Raw genomic sequence first — 19,996 nt, forward strand, 5'->3', positions numbered from 1 at the left:
CTGAGATCACCGCACTCCAGCCTGGCAACAGAGCAAAACTCTGTTTCAAAAAAAAAAAAAAAAAGCGTAAGGTGAATTTTTACCATAGGCATAACACACAATATTTACAATCATGTTTTGCTAAATTATTTAAGTCAATATTCTTTAATTTATATATCATATTCCTTTGGTTCCCAATTTTCTCATGCTCCTTGTGTATTTGAAATTCCAACATAAAGTAAACATAGTGTGGTGCATAAAACAAGAGAAGTTTCAATATGGCGTGTGCCCCTCCAAACTGATTGAGCACAATTCTCTTCATCTTCACCACTTAGATTGGCGATCAGTAATAGATGCTAATACTAACATTAAGATTATGTTCAAACTACCTGCTGTTTACAATTTTTATATATATACAGCCTATTGGCGATCAGTAATAGATGCTAATACTAACGTTAAGATTATGTTCAAACTACCTGCTGTTTACAATCTTTATATATATACAGCCTATTTCCTATCAGCAATCCAAACTACATAGACACATCATTGGTCTGAAAACTTACTGTCTTATTGCAAGCCAGATCCTCTGACAGGCACTAGAGATACAAAAGAAATTGTAGATGACCTCGAAGAGCTCAGGATCTACTGGGGGAAACAACAATGACAAATGTGGACATTTAGTGTCAGAAAGAGAGGATTATAGGAATGCCAAGGAAGCATCAGAAGAGGCTTCCTAGATGACGGGTGATGAAGCCCAATCTTCCAGGTGGAGAGGACAGCATGACCAAAGGAAGGACGTGGAGGTGACATGGCATGTGCAGGGAACTACACTGAACACTGCAGAGAGCCACTGGCAGGACCCAGGCCAGGGAGCACCTACTTGGTCATACTGGGGAGCTTGGCCTTTCTCTTGTTGGTCTGGAGATCCACAAAAGAATTTATGCCAAAAGTTAGAGGTGGATAGATTTTAAATACTGTGTTTTTAAATACCGAGGATTTAAATACTCTGATGGTTTATCTAATTTTAGGGGAACAAAACTGGAGGCAGTTAAAAGGCCCCTATAAGTGAAAAATGAAAAGAGTTTGTATTAGGGCAGCAGAAGTATGTTGTTGTCTTCTTAAGTCACATTTGATATGCAGAGAAGATAGAATCAGTGGGATTTTTAATCACAGGATGTGGGGGATGAAGTCGTGGGAGGGCTCCCAGATTTCTGGCTTGGGTAGGGATACCACCAAACAGGATACAGGAAGAAGAGTGGGATTAAGGGTGGGTAGTAAGTCTGGCTATAGAGAGTGGAGCTGGACACTCCTACAGACATATCCCAGGAGGGAAAGGAGTGGGCCCAGGATGGTACTCTGGATGATACCAAGTACCACAAGGAGGGTGGCACCGAGGGCAGGAGAGCTCAGAGGAAAACTAGGTGCATGTGGTGATGTCTTGGTAGCCCTGAGGTCCAGAATGCCAAGGAAAATGGCACAAGTGATAATCTTAAATGCAGTAGAAAGGCCCAGCTAGGTCAGGGCTGGGAAATGCCACTAGATATAGAAAGCAGGATGCATTGAGGACCTTAGTTAAAGCTATTTCAGTAAAGTTATGAGAAAGAGAGTCAGACCACAATGAGTTATGAAGTAAATGAGAGGTTATGAAGTAAATGAGAGGTAAGAGGTAAGGAATGGAGACATTTCATTGAGTAGCTGTTAAATGTAGAAACAGGGTTAAAGGTGGATCGGATTGCTTTGCTTTTTAAATTAATTGAAATTTCACTACCTACAGATAACCAACACTGACATTTTGGTGATGATCTTTTCATATATTCTTCTGTGTGTATGTGTACACACACAAAGCAGACAGAAAATATTTACTGTCAACAAGATTATTATGTACTAAGAAGGCAAATTAAATATTTACCCCAAGCCACCCTTTAAGTTATCAGAATTGTAAACATACACCTAAAAGGAAGTGTAGTTTCTCTTCTAAATCAAAACCCAATGCTTCTATGTGACGCACACTAATCTGCTTCTTACTACTGAGAAACAACACAGCACAGTCAGCCTAGGAAACAGACACACCCAATCCTATTGATTTTTAGATGTTAAAAATTACCCACTTGAAATGTTTCCAGGGGTTTAAACACAATCTTATGAGTAGAGCCCTAGGAGCTATGCCTCTGAAAACAAACAACCTTTTAGCAAGGGGGTACTGACAATATACACCCAAAGAGTGACACCCAGTGAGTCATCAGAAAGGGACAAGTCCCACCCTGTGGAGCTTCCACACCTGCCTTCTGCTTCATGACCATGGAAAAGAGCAACACACAAAGCTCTCTAGTGTGGTGTTGCAATGTCAACAAAACTGGGAATACTGGCTAAACTGGCCTAGTTAGCTGAATGGCCACTGGATTTGGCTTGGGTTTGCCCTACCAGGAAATGGGGCAAGAGGTCAGAATTGTAATACAGAGAAGGTGGCCCACAAATACTTCCGGAAAACAGAACAGGACATGGGGTGGTTCCTGTAGAAAACTGGGGGTTGTGTAGATTTTTTAGTAGAGGAGCAGAGCAGCTCCCAGGCAGCTTCATCTCGATTACAGCTCTCTCCCGCCTCACCCACATTCCTACTCTCACTGCTTAAGCTAATTCTCTTCCATAGAAGTTATCCTGGCAGACATCAGAGGAACATGTTTGACAATGCTTTTCTGTATTAATCACTCTCCCTAGTCTGTAAACAATAGAAGATTTACAAGTATTCATGTTGTATCTCTTTATATAGTAGATAAATATCTAATTTTTTATTTTTAAATGGAGAATGAAAAACTAAATAGTCAAACAGTCTAGCTAAAGGGGACACATAAAATTGTTGTATCAACTTGGAAGAGAATCCTACTTCTTGTTTATAATGTCAAAACTCAACTCTTTCTGAATATATTTTAATAAAAGGAAATAATACCTACTTAGTAAAAACTAAGTCCCATTTGGGAGGAGGGATTTCTTTCTACCACTACCCTAAGCTGATGAATGTCTGTATCCCCTACAAAATTCAGATGTTGAACCCTAATGCCCAACATGAAGGTATTTGGGGGTAGGGCCTTAGGGAGGTGATTAGGGCATGCGAGTGGAGCTGCTCTGATCAGAGAGACCCAGACCTACATTTTCTCTTCCTTCACATTTTCCTAAGAAGACTCTGACAAGAAATAGTGAAACAAATTTTCCAGGTCTTCATGGATACTTTCCCAAGCAAAACCACCTGAAAATAAGGCATCTGGAAGAATACAATGCCAAAGGCGACAGCTGACACATGCTCCGCTCCAGCCGCCCACAAGCATTTCTATAAGGATATCTCTAAGGTTGGTCACTAGGTGCCATCCTGGTTTCTTTTCAACCGCCAGAGAGATATGAACCTGGTAATTTTCCATCACCTGCTTTAGAGTGGACCAGATCTACTGCCAATGGTGTCAATGTACCAGAAGTCTCAGAATTATTTTATAAATCAGTCTTTAAGGTCTTATAAAACAATAGATGAGAATTCCTGGCAAAATGAACACACTGGTATCCACCTAAGTAAACCATGCCAACATAGTGTTCATTAATGATGACAATGTTCTTACAGATTTCACTTTGCCAATACACTCCCTGGGAGCTTTGAATGCTTAAAATCTGATGTGTGATTCAGCAGCTTTCATAAACTGAGACATGACTTGGTTGAGTTCTCGGATGTGAAATGTTTCAGCTTCCACCAAAGACCATGAACCCAGCATTCACACAACATATCTCCTATCAGATATTTCACACATGGTCTTCAAAGGCATGAGGAACATTCAAGTAGATATTAGAAAAGTGACACTCTGCTAAAGGCAAAATGAGGTCACACAGTCATAAATTCCTTTTCTGGGCAGCTAGCCAGCTTTCTACATTGCGTTCAGTCATTACATCTCACTCCACTTCTTGCCCTGGACAATAATTAGAGTGCTTCCTTTAATTTGCAGGTTGGTTTTCTAGATATACGTTTATATGTTCTTGGATGAACAACTGAACTCCCCACCTTCTCTGCAAGTTTTGCTCTCCTTGTCAGCATGTGCCCCTATGAGAATGTTCTACCTGTAGCTTAAGCTGCACTGATAGTAATCAAGTGTGCTAGACCTTATGCTAGACCCTTTCTTAGCAAAACAATATAGCTCCAACAAAAGCAATTAAAATTTGCATTAGTTTTACACAGGTACCTCTGGAGAAGTATGTATAACACGATAACAAAGGAAGACAGAAAAGTAGAGGATGAAAGGTAAAATGAAAATGCCTGAGTGATTCTAAAAATAACACTGTTCTGTATAATATGTGCCTTGAGAAGAACTTTCCATGGGAAATAAGACATATAGTAAGTTAACACCTGTTTGTGTATTCAACTGTTCAACCATTTAGGTATCTACCGTGTACCTGGCATACCACAAAGGTACTGTGAAGAATGCAAAGATAAATGAAATATTATATTCAAGAACTTTCAGGAAAGTAGCAGATATATGTATAAGGTATCTTATATACTGAAGTGCAGACATGGTTCCAATAGAGTGCCATCAAATTTAGAAGAAAAGGCCCTTTCAACAGGCTTAGAGATCAGATACCATTTATTTCAAGCACAAAAGACATCTACTTTCTCCTAAAGAAGAAGCTAAATATGAAGGTTCAGGAAATTCTAGTCCTACTAAAAGTAATGCTTTGCAATTATTATAAATTATATATACACACTAAATATATGTATGTAAATTATAGTTTACGAAATTTCTATGGTCTGAGATATATTTAATATTCCGAATATCTGGCAACCTAGGTATTATTATCACTATTTAAACATTTTAGGAACTGAGTTTTAGAAACAATAAAGGCAGTTTTTGAGGTTATAAGGCTGGTAAACTGTAGAGGCAAGCACTAGAATCTACCGATTCTACCTCTCCATAGCGACCCTGGAGTCTGAACACCCAAAAGAGCAATTCTAAATATTGGTGAGGCTGTAAAACCTAAGCTACATCAATACTGACTTCATATGGCCATCCCAGAGCAAAAAGGTTTCTTCACAGGTTCGTTTGAGTTTGGATGACCTTCATACCTTATTCATTCAGACCAATTAAACTGAGTCCAATGCCAGTCTAAATCTATTGGCTGTCATGAGATTAGTGAGTCAAGAATCACTTGAGAAACCAATCCATTCAAAAACTGCCAACTGGAGTGACCTTTCCTTGACTTAGGTCTCACACAGATACAGAATTGTCATTCTAGATATTCTGTTGGTCCTATATGCAGCCAAAGTGGAAATCATTTGATTAAAGGCAATCAAAGGAAGTTAAGAAGCAGTGATTTGGAATTGATTCCAATATTGAATAAATTATAAAAGACAATAGGATCTGCCTGCCTCTTCAATCCCATCTACATCTACTTTATATGGAATATAATCGATTTGCTCAAGATTCAGTACTGACTTCATATGGCCATCCCAGAGCAAAAACTTGATTGGGGCAGCGGTCTTCATAAAAGGGTTGAATATCACTTATTTTTCTCAAATCTCCACTGCTATAATCACTGCTGTGCAGCCACAAGTGGATTTCTAGGCATCTTAATTTCTAACAGAAGTCTGCATGAACTTAGTTGAATGTAAAAAAAAAAATCCGGGCAATAATCTTGTGAACATTTTATCATCATGCTTTATTATATTCAGGCAAATGGCTGAATTAAAAGTATAGTATGGATTAATAATTTCCAGAGGAAACCTATTGATAAAATCCTCCATGTAAAGGTAAGAGAAAGACTTTTAAATGTATAAACAAATTTACATATAACATTTAACATGGTTTTACATGCCAGTAAAGAATCACTTGTCTTACTGAGTAAGTGATGCATTGACGTCTCAAGATTTAATTGTCTCCACTTAGATCAGGCCAAGGACTTTACAGGGTAAACAAGAATGTGTCTTGGATGCTGCTCTGTACTACTTTGTAAAAATTACATTTTCCACTTGGTTATTTCAAGTATATCTGAAACATTATTGACGTTTACATCTCGTCACTAAAATCTGATATTAGTTATAATCTTTTGTTCAGTTGATTTACTTGGATTTTCTGGTGAGACAATCACATAAACTGTAAATATTTTTCTCTTCCTTTCCAATGTTTAAAATTGAATTTCCTTTTTTGTCTTATTACATTAACTACAAAACACTAGCAACTGGGCGTGGTGGCTCATGCCTGTAATCCCAGCACTTTGGGAGGCCGAGGCTGGTGGATCACCTGAGGTCAGAAGTTCGAGACCAGCCTGACCAACATGGCAAAACCCCATCTCTATTAAAAATGCAAAAATTAGCCAGGCGTGGTGGCACATGCCTGTAATCCCAGCTACTTGGGAGGGTGAGGCAGAAGAATCGCTTGAACCCGGGAGGCGGAGGCTGCAATGAGCCGAGATTGCACCATTGCACTCCAGCCTGGGCAACAAGAGCAAAACTGTCTCAAAAATAAATAAAAAAACAAATCAACAAACAAATAAATAAACAAAAAACAAAACAAAACAAAAACACTAGCAACAGCTGCAGGACACTTACATGATGTTTAGTATAAGCCAGTGTGTTAGCTATAACTCTTCTAAAGTATGTTAGTTACAAATTTATTTAATCCTCATGACAGATATCTATGAGATAAGTATTATTATCCTAATTTTAGAAATAATGAAACTGAGGCACAAAAAACGTTAGGCAACATATATAAGACCACACGGCCACTAAGGAGTTGACCAGGACAATGAACCTCCTCTTTACACTGTCATTTTGGCAGAGTATTTACAGAGTATTGAGTTGGGAAGAAAACCCCAAGGTGTTAGGCCACAGAAGAGAAGAAATTAAAATGTGAACCCTTATCTTATTCCTGATTCTAATTGGATCAGTACTATATTGTTGTTGCTTTAAGCCATAAGGAAGAAGGGGATGAACTTGAGTCTCCGCCAGGCATCACAGAGAACGTGTTCCAAGGTGGTTCCTACCACCTGGACATCTCAGAGCCTGTGTCATCCAAGGTCTAGCATTCTTATTGGGCGAGTGAGGCACTACCCAGCTGCCAAACGTGAAGACAGTGGTGTAAGGTGACTGGACATTAGCAACACTTGTGGACCACTTCCCTCTAAATGGCCACATGCTCCACGGCTGCCATATGGGAAACTCACCAGAACCAGGATAAAAAAGAGAAGATTATTTCTTTTTTTTGAGACGGAGTCTCGTTCTGTCGCCCAGGCTGGAGTGCAGTGGCGCGATCTCAGCTCATTGCAACCTCTGCCTCCCAGGTTCGAGCAATTCTCCTGCCTCAGCCTCCCAAGTAGTTGGGACTACAGGCGCATGCCACCACACCTGGCTAATTTTTTGTATTTTTAGTAGATATGGGGTTTCACCATGTTAGCCAGGCTGGTCTTGATCCCCTGACCTCGTGATCCACCCACCTTGGCCTCCCAAAATGCTGGGATTACAGGCGTGAGCCACCGGGCCTGGCCAGAAGATTATTTCTTAATGGTTCCTGCAAGAGGTCAAATGCATCAAATGATTTTCCTTCTACCACCTCACAAAAGACTATTCACTTACTGGATGAGGAAAGCAGGCTTTGGGATCTCAGCCAAGATCCCAAAGATCACTTACTATATAACTGTGTGTGTGTGTGTGTGTGTGTGTGTGTGTGTGTGTGTGTGTGTGCGCGCGGGCGCTTTGGAGGAGGGCAGGGTTGAGGTGAAGTGAAGTGATAAATGCCAGGAATTCTGTAGTTCAGTTTAAATCTCTTCATTCTTTAAGTTCTATAGTTGTCTGTTCTTTCAATCTACATATTGGGTTTTTGATCAAATAAAAGAACTGCTTGGCAGGGCATGGTGGCTCACGCCTATAATCTTAGCACTTTGAGCGGCCAAGGCGGGTGGATCACTTGAAGTCAGGAGTTCGAGACCAGCCAGGCCAACCTGGTGAAATCCCATCTCCATTAAAAATACAAAAATTAACCAAGCATGGTGGCAGGTGCCTGTAATCCCAGCTACTTGGGAGGCTGAGGCACGAGAATCTCTTGAACCTGGGAGGGGGAGGTTGCAGTGAACTGAGATCACACCACTGCATTCCAGCCTGGGCAACAGAGTCAGACTGTCTCCGAAAAAAAAAAAAAAAACAAAAAGCAACTGCTCTTTCCCAAGCCCATTTACACCTTGGGAAAACATAGAAGACCTTTCTGCATGATGCTCCAATGGGAGGGAGGCGGAACAAAAAGCCCTGGCACTTGTGAGCTTTTCCTGCTATAGAAGAGCTCTGGTTAAAAATACTACCTAATAATACTGGCTGACAAGAGGGTTAAAGGTAAAGGAAAGATGAAAAAACAAATGCTTTCTCATATCCAAGAGTGTGCCATCCTTCTCTTCCTGACTCATACAGCCTGCCTCTGAGTCTCCTCAGCAGACTCAGGGAACAACAGAATGTACTATTTGCTATTTCCACTTTACTTATGCAATTTGCTAGTCACGAAAGGCCATTCCCATCTGCTGCCAAAGGGTTATCTCTAAAACACAAATATTGTATCATGGGAGTGAGCTCACTGCTTACGGGAGACAGATCAAATTCAAAAGGTTCCTAATCACTCTGCCACCTGGCCTCCTGAGGCAGGCTGTACGTTGAGTGCTTAGCTCTCCAACTGGGCGGCTCTGGGTTTGAATCTCAACTTCACCACCTGTAGATGGTAGGACCTTGGCTAAGGTCCCAAAGCCTGCTTTCCTCATCCAGAAAAGGACAGTTTCTATATTAAATGAGATAACAGCAGTGTATAAAAGCCCTGGCCCAGATACTGCATGAGAGGTGCTCCCAGAGTACTTACTATTATGTGTCTTAACTGCCACACTGCCTCGTCACCAGTTGTCCCCTCTTCACTCACTGCTCAGCATCTAGTAGATCTTCAATTATTCAGTTAATATCTGAATAGATCCACGGACCTGCAGCAACAATATTTCAATGGAGTCTCTCCTTCCTAGACTTGGACTTTCTATGACGTTGCCCAAACTTAAAAATGCTGGGAAGGGGCCAGGCACGATGGCTCATGCCTGTAATCCCAGCACTTTGGGAGGCCGGGGGGGGTGGGGGGCGGGGTGGATCATGAGGTCAGGAGTTCAAGACCAGCCTGACCAATGTGGTGAAATCCCATCTCTACTAAAATACAAAAATTAGCTGGGCGTGGTGGTGTGCGCCTGTAGTCCCAGCTACTCAGGAGGCTGAGGCAAGGAAAATCGCTTGAACCCAGGAGACAGAGGTTGCAGTGAGCCAAGATCACACCACTGTACTCCAGCCTGGGTGACAGAACGAGACTTGGTCTTTAAAAAAAAAAAAAATCGTTGGGAATGGAAGAGAATTAGCGATAGAAGAGAAATGGAAAATACACTTGGGGGGCTGAGGAAGCTGAGTTAGGGAGTCCCAAATCTTGACCTCACACAGATACATGTGAAAATTTTAATTTCAACACCATTTAAAAATCACATGTCATGTAGATGCATACTGCTATGAAACAGGGAGACCAGGTTTGTAATGTTGTTTTAATTCCTTAAAAATCTATTTATTCTAGGCACTTACAGATACACCCTTTTTTAAAATAAAGGAAGAAGGGCCAGGATAGTTCTGGAAAATAAACAAAGCTTTGCAACTAAAGGGATTGCTCCATTGCTCCCCCCTGAATTTTTCCGCCATGACACGCATGGTTGCTATCAGTTTCACACAGTGTGTACAGAAAGTAATGTCGATTAATAATCTGTGGAACATTTTTCTATAAGTCTGAGCAATGACTGGTTATGATTTAGAAATCAAGTCTCGGCCGGGAGCAGTGGCTCACGCCTGTAATCCTAGCACTTTGGGAGGCCGAAGCAGGGGGATCACCTGAAGTCAGGAGTTCAAGACCAGCCTGGCCAACATGGCAAAACCCCATCTCTACTAAAAATACAAGAATTAGCTGGGTGTGGTGGCACGTGTCTGTAATCCCAGCTACTTGGGAGGCTGAGGTGGGATAATTGCTTGAACCAGGGAGGCGGAGGTTGCAGACAGCCAAAATTGCACCACTGCACTCCAGCCTGGGCGACAGAGTGAGACTTCATTTAAAAAAAAAAAAAAAAAAAAAAAAGCAAGAAATCAAGTCTGGTAGCCTCTGTCTGTCCAAAAAGTGAGAGTTTTTGCTAATGGAGCAGAAAATAAAACTGATTACCAATAATAAAGGTATTAACAATTATAAAATATCTGGGTTTTCCAACTTGGCACCACTGACATTTTGGGCTGGGTGATTCTTTGTCACAGAAGCTGTCCTGTGCAGTGCAGGATGTTCAGCAACTTCCTTGGCTTCTGCCCACCAGATTTCATTATCTTCCCAACCTCCTATTGTGACCACCAAAAATGTCTCTAGATGGCGCTGGGGTAGGGAAGTGGGTGCAAACTTTCAACTTTGTTGAGAATTGTTTTTCTTAAATAAGGAGGTAAGAGAGTTAAAAACTGTGACAAATTCCTTAATAGATGTTTTGATCCTAACAAGTCAACCTACCAAACACATATTCTCCCACACAGATGAATTTGTCATAGTACTGAAAATATACAGCCAGAATATTTCATTCATCAGACTTTTCTAGATTTTTATATATAGAACAAAGAATTCCTCCTACTAGATGCAGAAAACAAGTAATTGCCAAATATACGTAAAACTATCAAATCTTTATGGTATCAATCTTTTAGAGCCTGAGACTTTTGTGCACCATTTTTCTCCATCACATAATCTTTTACTCCAAATACACTTCTCTGTGGAACTCCTATCTCTTACATATCTGGCAAGCCCAAGAACTAAAAGGACATTCTTGCCATCTAGAGGTCCAATATCTGACAAGATAGGAAACATCTCTGCTAGAAAGCCCTGAGAGTCCCAAAAGATAACAAAGAGGTTTTTTGTTGTTGTTGTTTTCTTACTCTATTTCTTATTAGGAAGAACCTGAAAAATTCTTCCTTTAATAATAAACAGAGTAAGAAAAAGTGTGCAAAAGCAAGTGCCTGTGCTAAGAAGGTTAATTTTAAAAAATGTTTCCTTAAAAGCTAGGGGAAAAAGTTTTAAAAATTTCTCAGAATTATCTTTTGCTCCCTTTTCCTCATTCCTCTTACCTAAGTATCGTTTTTTTCCTCTTGAACATCTCCCTCCCAGCCTAGATCAGGTGTTCATTATCTTTTATCAGGTCTATCTTAAAAACTTCCTAACTAGTTCTTCTACCTGCAATTTCTCACCATCTTCTCATCCTCCACTCCTGACCAATTTAACTCACCTGCAGGGGAGGGAGGACACTTGCCTTCACTTAATCTTTCTAAAAAGCAGATTCTGGGAGGAACTCCCCAGGGCACAGAGATTATAGTTCCCATTATTCAGTCTGGAATTTGCTCCAAACTAGGTTTCTAACTTCATCTCCTAAATACTCCTTCCCCTCTATCCCAGAGCCATTTGTTACCTTCAGGAATGGTGCCTGGTACTTTATCTAGAACGCCCTTAACCTCGTTCACCTGAAGGCCTCCCACTCCTAGACAGCTGTCAGAACTACCTACTCAACAATTCCATGGCATTTTGCTTGCACCTGTTAGAGCACTCACAATCACCATTCCTGGTCAATGTCTCAGAGCTGTACCTGCCTGACTGGAGGGAATTAAGAGACCTGACTTGTTCTCCAGGTAGTTCTCAGGCATCTTTGATGTTTCTCCTTTAAAGAAGAATCCATTTCAGTTGGGTTAAAATTATTTATTGAGTCCTTAAACTATTCAAGGCTGTGTTAGATGCTGTATGAGATAGGACTGTCCTCAAGGAGCCTTTAGTGGTGGGAAGAGTGACAGCAAGACAAACAGTCATGGGTGCAAATTGTTACAGGGATTCTGAAGGGGAAGGATCTACCTGGTGAGAAAGATTAGGAAAAGCTTCTTGAAGAAGGTGGTAAAAATGAGGCCGGATTTCACTATTCTTCTTCTTGAGGAAGGTGGTGGTGGTTGGGGCAGGATTTCTCTATTGGGTGGTGGCTATGAGGTGTGAGCCCTCCAAGCAGTAGACACAGGCGGGAACAAGGCAGGGCAAAGCCTACCTGAGCAACAACCAACAACCTGGTGTGGCGAGTGCCTGCTGGGTTGTCTGCTGGAGGATGATGCTTGTAGTCAAAGGAACACCAGACCTCAAAAAGGCCCAGCGTTAGACCAGAGTTTATACTCACGTGGGAAACATCTCTGAAAACTCCTGGCTAGCTGGTAAAATAACAGAGCTGTACTTGAAAAAAATAATAATCTGACAGTAACATAGATGACTGATTGGAGGAGGAAAGGGAGGCACCTTGCTCTTTAGAGCAAGGGAGACACAGTCACTGTAGGCTGGAAAGGAGGAGCAGTTTTGATAGGAATTGTGTGGAAAGAGGATCAACAAGACTCGCTGCATAATTACTCTGTGGGTCAGGAGGAAAGGACCCTAGGTGGACAGAGAACTGGGACTCCCACACGAGGGGACCAGTTTTATTAAAGGAAAAGAGTTGGGACTATAAAATGTTATGAAGGTCTATAAGAAAAAATGTAATTGCCACTGAGAAACGTATGGAATGTAGAAGGCATGAATGGAAAAACGGAATCTTTCTCATGTCTATGTGTCTACTGCATTTGGTTTACCTACAATGATTTTTAACATCTAAAAAATAAAAGCTCTGTGTTTATTTTGCTTGTCTCACACTCACGCATTGGCTTGACTCACTATTAGGGACAAACCCTACGGTGTTCTGTAAACCAGTTCTAACATGTTGGAGGCCCTGTGTAATGTATACCTCACCAAAAATCAACACAGACACGTCTGAATCATCTACCCTCTTGCTCCAGATATCAGAAAAGTTCACATGGTACACATAGTTTTGTTGTTTTCCTGTTGCAGTACACTCAACAACTACAGAAATGGGTCAGGGTTAACAGAAAGCCAGCACAAGACTTCCCTGGATAGTGACTCACAAAGGCAAGTGATTCCAAGCCTAAGAAATGGAGCAGAGTGACTTCAATTCAGGAAGTTTTGCTAGCACTGCAATCAGTTTTGGAACCCATGAAGTCTGTTTTCCACAAATAGAAAAAGCTCAAAGAAATTCCTAAAAAAGAACCTTTTAAAAGGTCACACTACTTCTTAGAGGTACAAATCCAATATGGAAATCAAATTATGAAGTGAGACAAGCACTTTCCCACCCATGCTATAAACACTCCATTAACAGTGTGGTCACAGGCAGCTTGTTTAAACTTTCCACCTGATGTTAATCATATTATCTCATAGGTTAAATTATATTTGAACTGGCGTTAGCCCTTTCAAGTAACCAACTTTCCACTGAGTACCTAAATGTAAGTATAAAGAAATGGAAAACAGTAGCCTAGGAGTTTTGAACCCCATCCCTGTTTTGTGCTACAATTTTTGTGGGTTTTTTTTTAATACTATACTTTCTGTTTGTAGATTCAGTAAATAATTTGCAAGGATTCTGAGTAAACAGGCTGAAATGTGAAAATAGCAATCAAAGGACTCTAAAATTTTTAGAGCTTTACTAGCATTTATAGAGCAATCTAGAAAAGCCACATAGTATGACACCAAATAATTCTGCAATGTATTTGCTCATATTCTCCCTTTCCATATCTCTCATAAAGCTCTTATTTTAAGAAAATAATTTTTTTAAAAGTTCCTTTATTTCCAAGTTTTACATACACCTATCCAAACTTTACCCCCCTTTAATAATTAAATCACTACCATCAACTGGGTCAGTCGCTAGAAACCAGCCACAGCTGGGAGCAATCAGGTTTCCATAAGAAGCCATGAGCTGGAAGCTTCTACCACATGGTGAAAACAACATCATTTCTTCCTGAATTCACCCTTCACTGTGTTGTTGCCACAAACATTTAACACTGGAACAAAACGACCCAGTGAAAGATGAACTTTCACCCCTAGAAAAATTAATTAAGACTGTAAATAGGATTCAAGGATGGAGGCAGAGTGGTTTTGATAAAAATGCCATATAAGAGTTCAACTATACAATTTATTTTGCCACTGGTGGTTGTGCTGAGTCAATTTTTTCCTTTTTATTACAATAATTCCCAAACACATGGAAAATTCGGGTAATGAACACCCATATACCTTTTACCTAGATTTAACAACTTAGTTTGCCAGAGTCATCTATTTTTTATGTCCACTTTTGCTCGAGCATTTTATAATCACATTTCACCCTTAAATAATTCAGTATGTCTCCCTAAAAAGTGAGGATATTTTCCCTCATACTATAATACATTGATTACAAATAACAAACTCACAATAATTCCCTAATCATCTCATCATGAAATCCATTCATATTCAAATTTCCTTGAGTTATTATTAAGCAATGTGAAGTAGGACTAGAAAGCTATACTGAAGATTGGTGACAATCTTCAATCCATTCTTGTAGCAAAGACACTTAGATAATCTCTTCATCTTTGTTTTGAGTTAAAATATGAGTGTGAATACCAATGTGTGAAAGATACATTTACCCTCTATCTGACCACAAAAACTATGTTACAGCAGCTATGAAATTTAAGTAATGGAGAGAGGAAGAGAATAACATTTTTGACTCTTGAGGAAAAAAATGGTAGAGACAATTTCCTAGACAGCAGACTAATATACTACTTAATTACTTTCTCTCTTTTTCCTTTTCTGAATCATTTCCCTTAGTCTAGAAAGATTTCTCAGATTCCATTATACTTAAAAATATGAAATACTGGAGAGCTGATTTCACTCCTATGTCCTCTTTCTTGGCTTCCCTTTTTTTTTTTAAATAAAATTTTTATATTTACTTTGCTCCCCCCAAATCAAATGTCACTGGTTTCCCTTTAGTACAAAATATCTTGGCAAAAATAGTTGATCCTTCCTTGCTGTCTACCTTTCACTCATTTTTAACTCTCTTTTGTAATCTAATTTTCCTCAGTTTCCTTACTTGAAACTGCCCTGTTGAACATCACCCATTTCCTTCTTCAACACTTAAAAGACTCTTTCCCCAGGCCTCCTGCCTCTGATCTGATCACCCCCCTAGGCCCAGCAGCTGTCCCCTCTGAGGCTCCAGGGGCTCCCCTGGAATCTCTTCCCAGAAATTTACTGAGCAAGGGGAATGTCACCTGTATGCAGATGACTTGTAAATCTGAAAAAGTCAAGTCTTATATATCTACTTAATTTTTTCCTAGAGTCAGAATACAAGTAGGGAGCTACTGTGAAAGGAAGAAAAGTGAAAGCTTTACCCAGCTTATTGGCTAATTCTAACAGATCTCTCCTCTCTAGGATGACTTCCAAGTAAAAGTGCCTCCTAGCACTTTCCAGGGAATAGTGGAGACGGGGGCAGGCTCTGAAGCCACATATCCTGGGTTCAAATCACACTTATTAACTGTGTATTATTACAAACACTTAACATCTCTAAACCTCAGCTTGTACTTGTATGAAATATAGATAATAGCACCCATTTCATGAGTTTGTTGTGAAAGTCACATGAAAAAATAAAAGTAAAATGCTGAGTTAACGAAGTGCCCAAGAAATGGTAAGCACTAAATAAATTTTAGTTATTGTTAACTATAACCTAAAAATTCAGTCATCAAAAATGGTTATTTTTTAGATCTATAACATTTCTTAATGGCAAAAAATGGCTGAGATAAATGTTCCTCAGCATACTTTATTAGTTCTGAGGACTTTTGAAAAGAAAGTTTGGTTATTTTCCATTTCGTCACATAAGCTTTATCCCATATAACAGGGAAAGTACACAAAGTGTTGTTCAACACTAGTAGTTACTTTTATAAATGGATGATTCATGCTAATTAAACTTGCAACCCAGGAGAATAAAATTAGCTTGTTTCAACATTTCCTTTTGTTCAGTAATTACAATTCAAGGTTATGTTAGATGCCACATTACTATAATTTTGCCCAAGAGACAAACACTGCACATCCTACACTTTTAAAAACAGGCACTGCTGATATAAATCCAGGTGCTTGCTGAATAAGGGCCTTGAAAACTGCATAAGCAATTCTTACCCATCTTCTGCTCAAGTGTCACTTACTTCTGTACATATTACAACTAGGAGGGAAAGTACTGAGATCATTTTAGCTTGTTACAGATTCACCAGATTTGCAGGAGGATGAGAATTTAAAAATAGAAGCCAAACGCGGCTGGAGTTTATCTCAGATGCTTATGTTCAAGTAGCAATCTGTTCATCCATGATGACAGTATCTGTTCATCCATGATGACAGCAAGCTTGCCACGGAATGCTATAAATTTTCATAAACCCACTCAGAATTCCATTACTTCGCAAATTGGCAGACCACTGATATATAGACACTTCATGTTCTGATCCATTTGGTTTCTCAAAGCTGTCTCTTGCTAGAGTTTTCTTTGTTGTTTTTCATGACAGAGGGGAGTGAGAGGAGATACCATTGATTTTGTATTACTCACGTGCCAGCACTGTGCTGAGCCATTTACGCAAGTTAGATCTCTGAGAATCTGAACAACATTTTTCTACAGTAGATCTCCATTTTATAGAGTGGAGACTTGGAGCTCAGGAGGGCAAATAAAATTCCAAAGAGAATGGCATATCTAGGCTTTCGTGGGGCTTGGGGTTTATATTCTTTTTTTTTTTAAAAAAAAATCACATTATGCATACTAAGTTAGGTTTCAGGCCCTAGAAAGGGTCAGCATAAACAAGGGCCCCGAGACACCAGCTTTAGGTAACCAACTGGGGATCTGCTTGACTGGTCATGCTGAGCTGCAGAGACAAAAGGAATTTGATGAATAGATACATTAATTGTAGAATAAAAACCATTCAACTTCAGAAATTCCTGGCTAGAATTAAGTTGCTAGGTTAAAAAAATTTAATATTTGCTTTTGTTTAATAAGTCAGGGTAAAAGAGTGGGAAGAAGAGTGGGTGTGCAGGTTGAGCTAGCAATGTCTGACACAGGTCCAGGCAGTTTGGAATTAATGTTCTGAGTATACAGAATGCAGAAAAAATCTTGAGTTCTGTATTGTACATTTCGTAGGAAAGGTTTGCCCCTTTGGTAGCAATGTGAAGTAGGAAAGTTCAGATTACATTTATCTGTGATGTCTTTTGAATACAATTTGTACGAATGTGACAATCTCTTTTCTAAACACTATGTCAATTTTTCTTAAGTGGGTTCTCTATTATTAGCAAAATACGTGATGTTGACTGGACACATTCTCTCAGGATCAATTATTTGGTATACCAAGAAAACACCTTTTGTCTAAAACTTATTTTGCCAGAATAGGGAATGTCTTTATTTTCCCAAAGCACATCTAGATAATTTCAGAATTCAGAATAAGGAGATTCTTGTCACCACCATTTCAGTGTGAGGTTCTCATAAGAACCACAGAAGTCATAGTTACCTTTTTTCAAAGTTTTATGAAATTATTTTTCATATTAAGAATTTCATGAAAATCTCTGATGTAACACATATCTTTAAAACGCTGAGTTTTATTGCTTTCCAAAATATGCATGAATGGAGCTGTGGCCTATGGCTGCCCAGGCTGTGCACTGCCCAACTCCAAGGGACTCTCTTACCAAAGATCACAAAGTAAGGGGTACTACTTGGAATAGGAGAGTGTAGGAGCCTTGACCAAAGGAGAATACTGATTGAAAAGAATGGTTGTTACCTATGCCAGAAAATAAGGACATGATTTAAAAAATGAAGGGGGCATGTCACAGAGACACAGGTGCCAGCCTATACCCAAATGGAGAAACATAGGACCATTTGAAGAAACAAGGACAGCAATATATCATAGTACACTGAATGGCATAAGAATCCACAAGTCCATGCTCATAATAGCAGGTAAGTAAAAAAATAAATAAACAGAAGAGAAAAAAATGCTTTTCCTTACAGGAGAATGACGGCTAACAAATACAAGAAGGAATGGTGGAGTTAAGTTAGAAAAGAACTGTTTTGCCACCTTCATAGTAAAAACAGAATCAGACAGGAATCATCAATAACTACTTAATAGGGGAGTGGTGGGGGGAGAAGATTTAGGGAAAGAGCAAGATAGTTACAGAGTCTAAAAGTACGTCCTCTCAAATTTCCCAGTAATCACAAAGTAAATGGTAATTATACAGCAGAGAAACTGGACAATACGTTAACCAAGTGATCAAAACTAAAATCACCAATAAGGGGCAAAGGACATCCCTTGCCATTATCACAACACAGAGCAGACCAGCCAAGACTGCATAGCCTCATCAAATCACGAGGACACGGGGAAACCCAAACTGAGGGTTGTTTTAGAAAATAATTTGCCTGTATTCTTTAAAAAATGTCTATATCACGAAAGACAAAGACGGCTGAGGAACTTGTTCCAGATTAAAGGAGACTAAAGAGATACAAGAGCAAAATACAATAAGTGGTCCTAGACTGGATGTTGTCCCAGAGGCGGAAAAAATGCAGCAAGGCATTATTGGGACAATCAACAAAACTGGAACATGGACAGTAGATTAAAGTATTAAATGTACTGAATTTGCTACCAGTGCTGTGGTTATATAAGAGGATATCCTTGTTCTTAGGAAATACACAGTGAAGTATTAGGGGGATGTATGCTGTCTACTCTCAAATAACTGAGAAAAAAATAAATAGCATATTTGTCTGTATTTGTATGTGCATTTGGTGGGGAGGGAGGAGGGTAAGAATGATAAAAAACAAATGTGGCAAAATGATACTAAAAATGGGTAAAACCGGGGAAATGGCACAAGGGAGTAAACTATACTACTGCAACTTCAAAATAAAATTACAAAAGCAAAACAAAAAACAGCAGCCCAAATAACATTGAGGGGTGTCAGTATTCAACTAGCTTGAATGAAGAGTAATTCAACTTGTAATTAGTAGTGCAGGATAAAGAATTAAATCCTTAGAAACATTTAGTAGCTAACATGATCACAGTCATCACCATTAACATTTATGGAGGCTTACTTAGTGGTAAACACTCTGAAAGGTGTTTCTCTTTCGATCTTCACAATTACCCTAAGAGAAAGGCACTATAATTATCTTCACTTTATAGATGAGGAAACAAAGATTTAAAGAGGTTTAGTAGCTTGCCCAAAGTAATATAGACAGAAAATGGCAGAATGAGAAATCAAACTTGGTTGTTTGATTACAAAGCTGGTGGGCTTTACTACTCTGTTAAACATTTTAAATTACTGTTTATTAGCTGCCCTAAAAAAAAGTAAGATTCATTTCAACCTAGATGAAATTCTGAAAAATTGGTAAAATATACATATATAAGGGTTTCCTCTAATTAAAACTAGAGCACAAATAAGCTAGGGAGACATAAATGATTTTTGGTCTCCACAATGTACTATATGCTCTCTTTTTTCCAAGGGCTAAACCTGGCAATAAATAGATTCTTGGAGACAAAATATATACACTATAACCTTGAAATGATCAATCATATCAAGACTCCTGGGTCTCCATTTTACACGGTAATCAAAACATACTCCCAGGCCAGGTATGATGGCTCATACCTGTAATTCCAACATTTTGAAAGGCCAAGGCAGGTGGATTGCTTGAGACCTGGAGTTTGAGACCAGCAACAAAGCGAGAACTGGTATCTACAAAAAATTGACAAGTTGGCCGGGCGTAGTGCCAGGTACAAGCCTGTAGTGCCAGCTACTCAAGAGGCTGAGGTGGGAGGATCCTTTGAGCCCAGTAGTCCAGGGCTGCAGTGAGCCATGAACACACCACTGCATTCTGGCCTGGGTGACAGAGTGACACCTTGTTTCAAAACAAACAAACAAAAAACACTTATAAAACCACACTGCCTTCTTATTTACCTGTTTATAAAATTTTTTTTAAAAAAACTACCAAATCACTAAATTTGTCTTGTAAAGCAAGTTTCATGGTGCTATCTTAAGATATGAAACACAAAACAAAATGATCAGCTGGAATCTATTTGTACCTCAAAACTTCTACCTAAACTTCT

General features: G+C 39.4%; 1 protein-coding gene across 5 annotated transcripts in view, besides 1 other annotated feature; it reads right to left on the bottom strand.

Annotated features, from left to right (window-relative positions):
- The window catches only part of GAREM1 (GRB2 associated regulator of MAPK1 subtype 1), a 207,361-nt gene that overhangs the window by 106,853 nt on the left and 80,512 nt on the right, over window positions 1-19,996 (bottom strand). Inside the window, exon 2 of one of the 5 annotated variants that reach the window (XM_047437739.1) lies at window positions 8,838-8,952. The exons of the other annotated variants lie outside the window; for them this stretch is intronic. The gene's annotated coding sequence lies outside the window, so the exon portion shown is untranslated. The remainder of the gene's footprint in view (window positions 1-8,837; window positions 8,953-19,996) is intronic. 5 annotated transcript variants of the gene reach the window in all.
- Window positions 2,192-2,486: an enhancer, noted in NCBI's record as "tiled region #10466; K562 Activating non-DNase unmatched - State 24:Quies". NCBI's record gives its function as "activates a minimal TATA promoter and a strong SV40 promoter by Sharpr-MPRA in K562 cells {active_cell/tissue: K562}" and the evidence as "EXISTENCE:reporter gene assay evidence [ECO:0000049][PMID:27701403]".

Source organism: Homo sapiens, chromosome 18 (assembly GCF_000001405.40).
Source record: "Homo sapiens chromosome 18, GRCh38.p14 Primary Assembly".
Classification (NCBI taxonomy): Eukaryota; Metazoa; Chordata; class Mammalia; order Primates; family Hominidae; genus Homo; species Homo sapiens.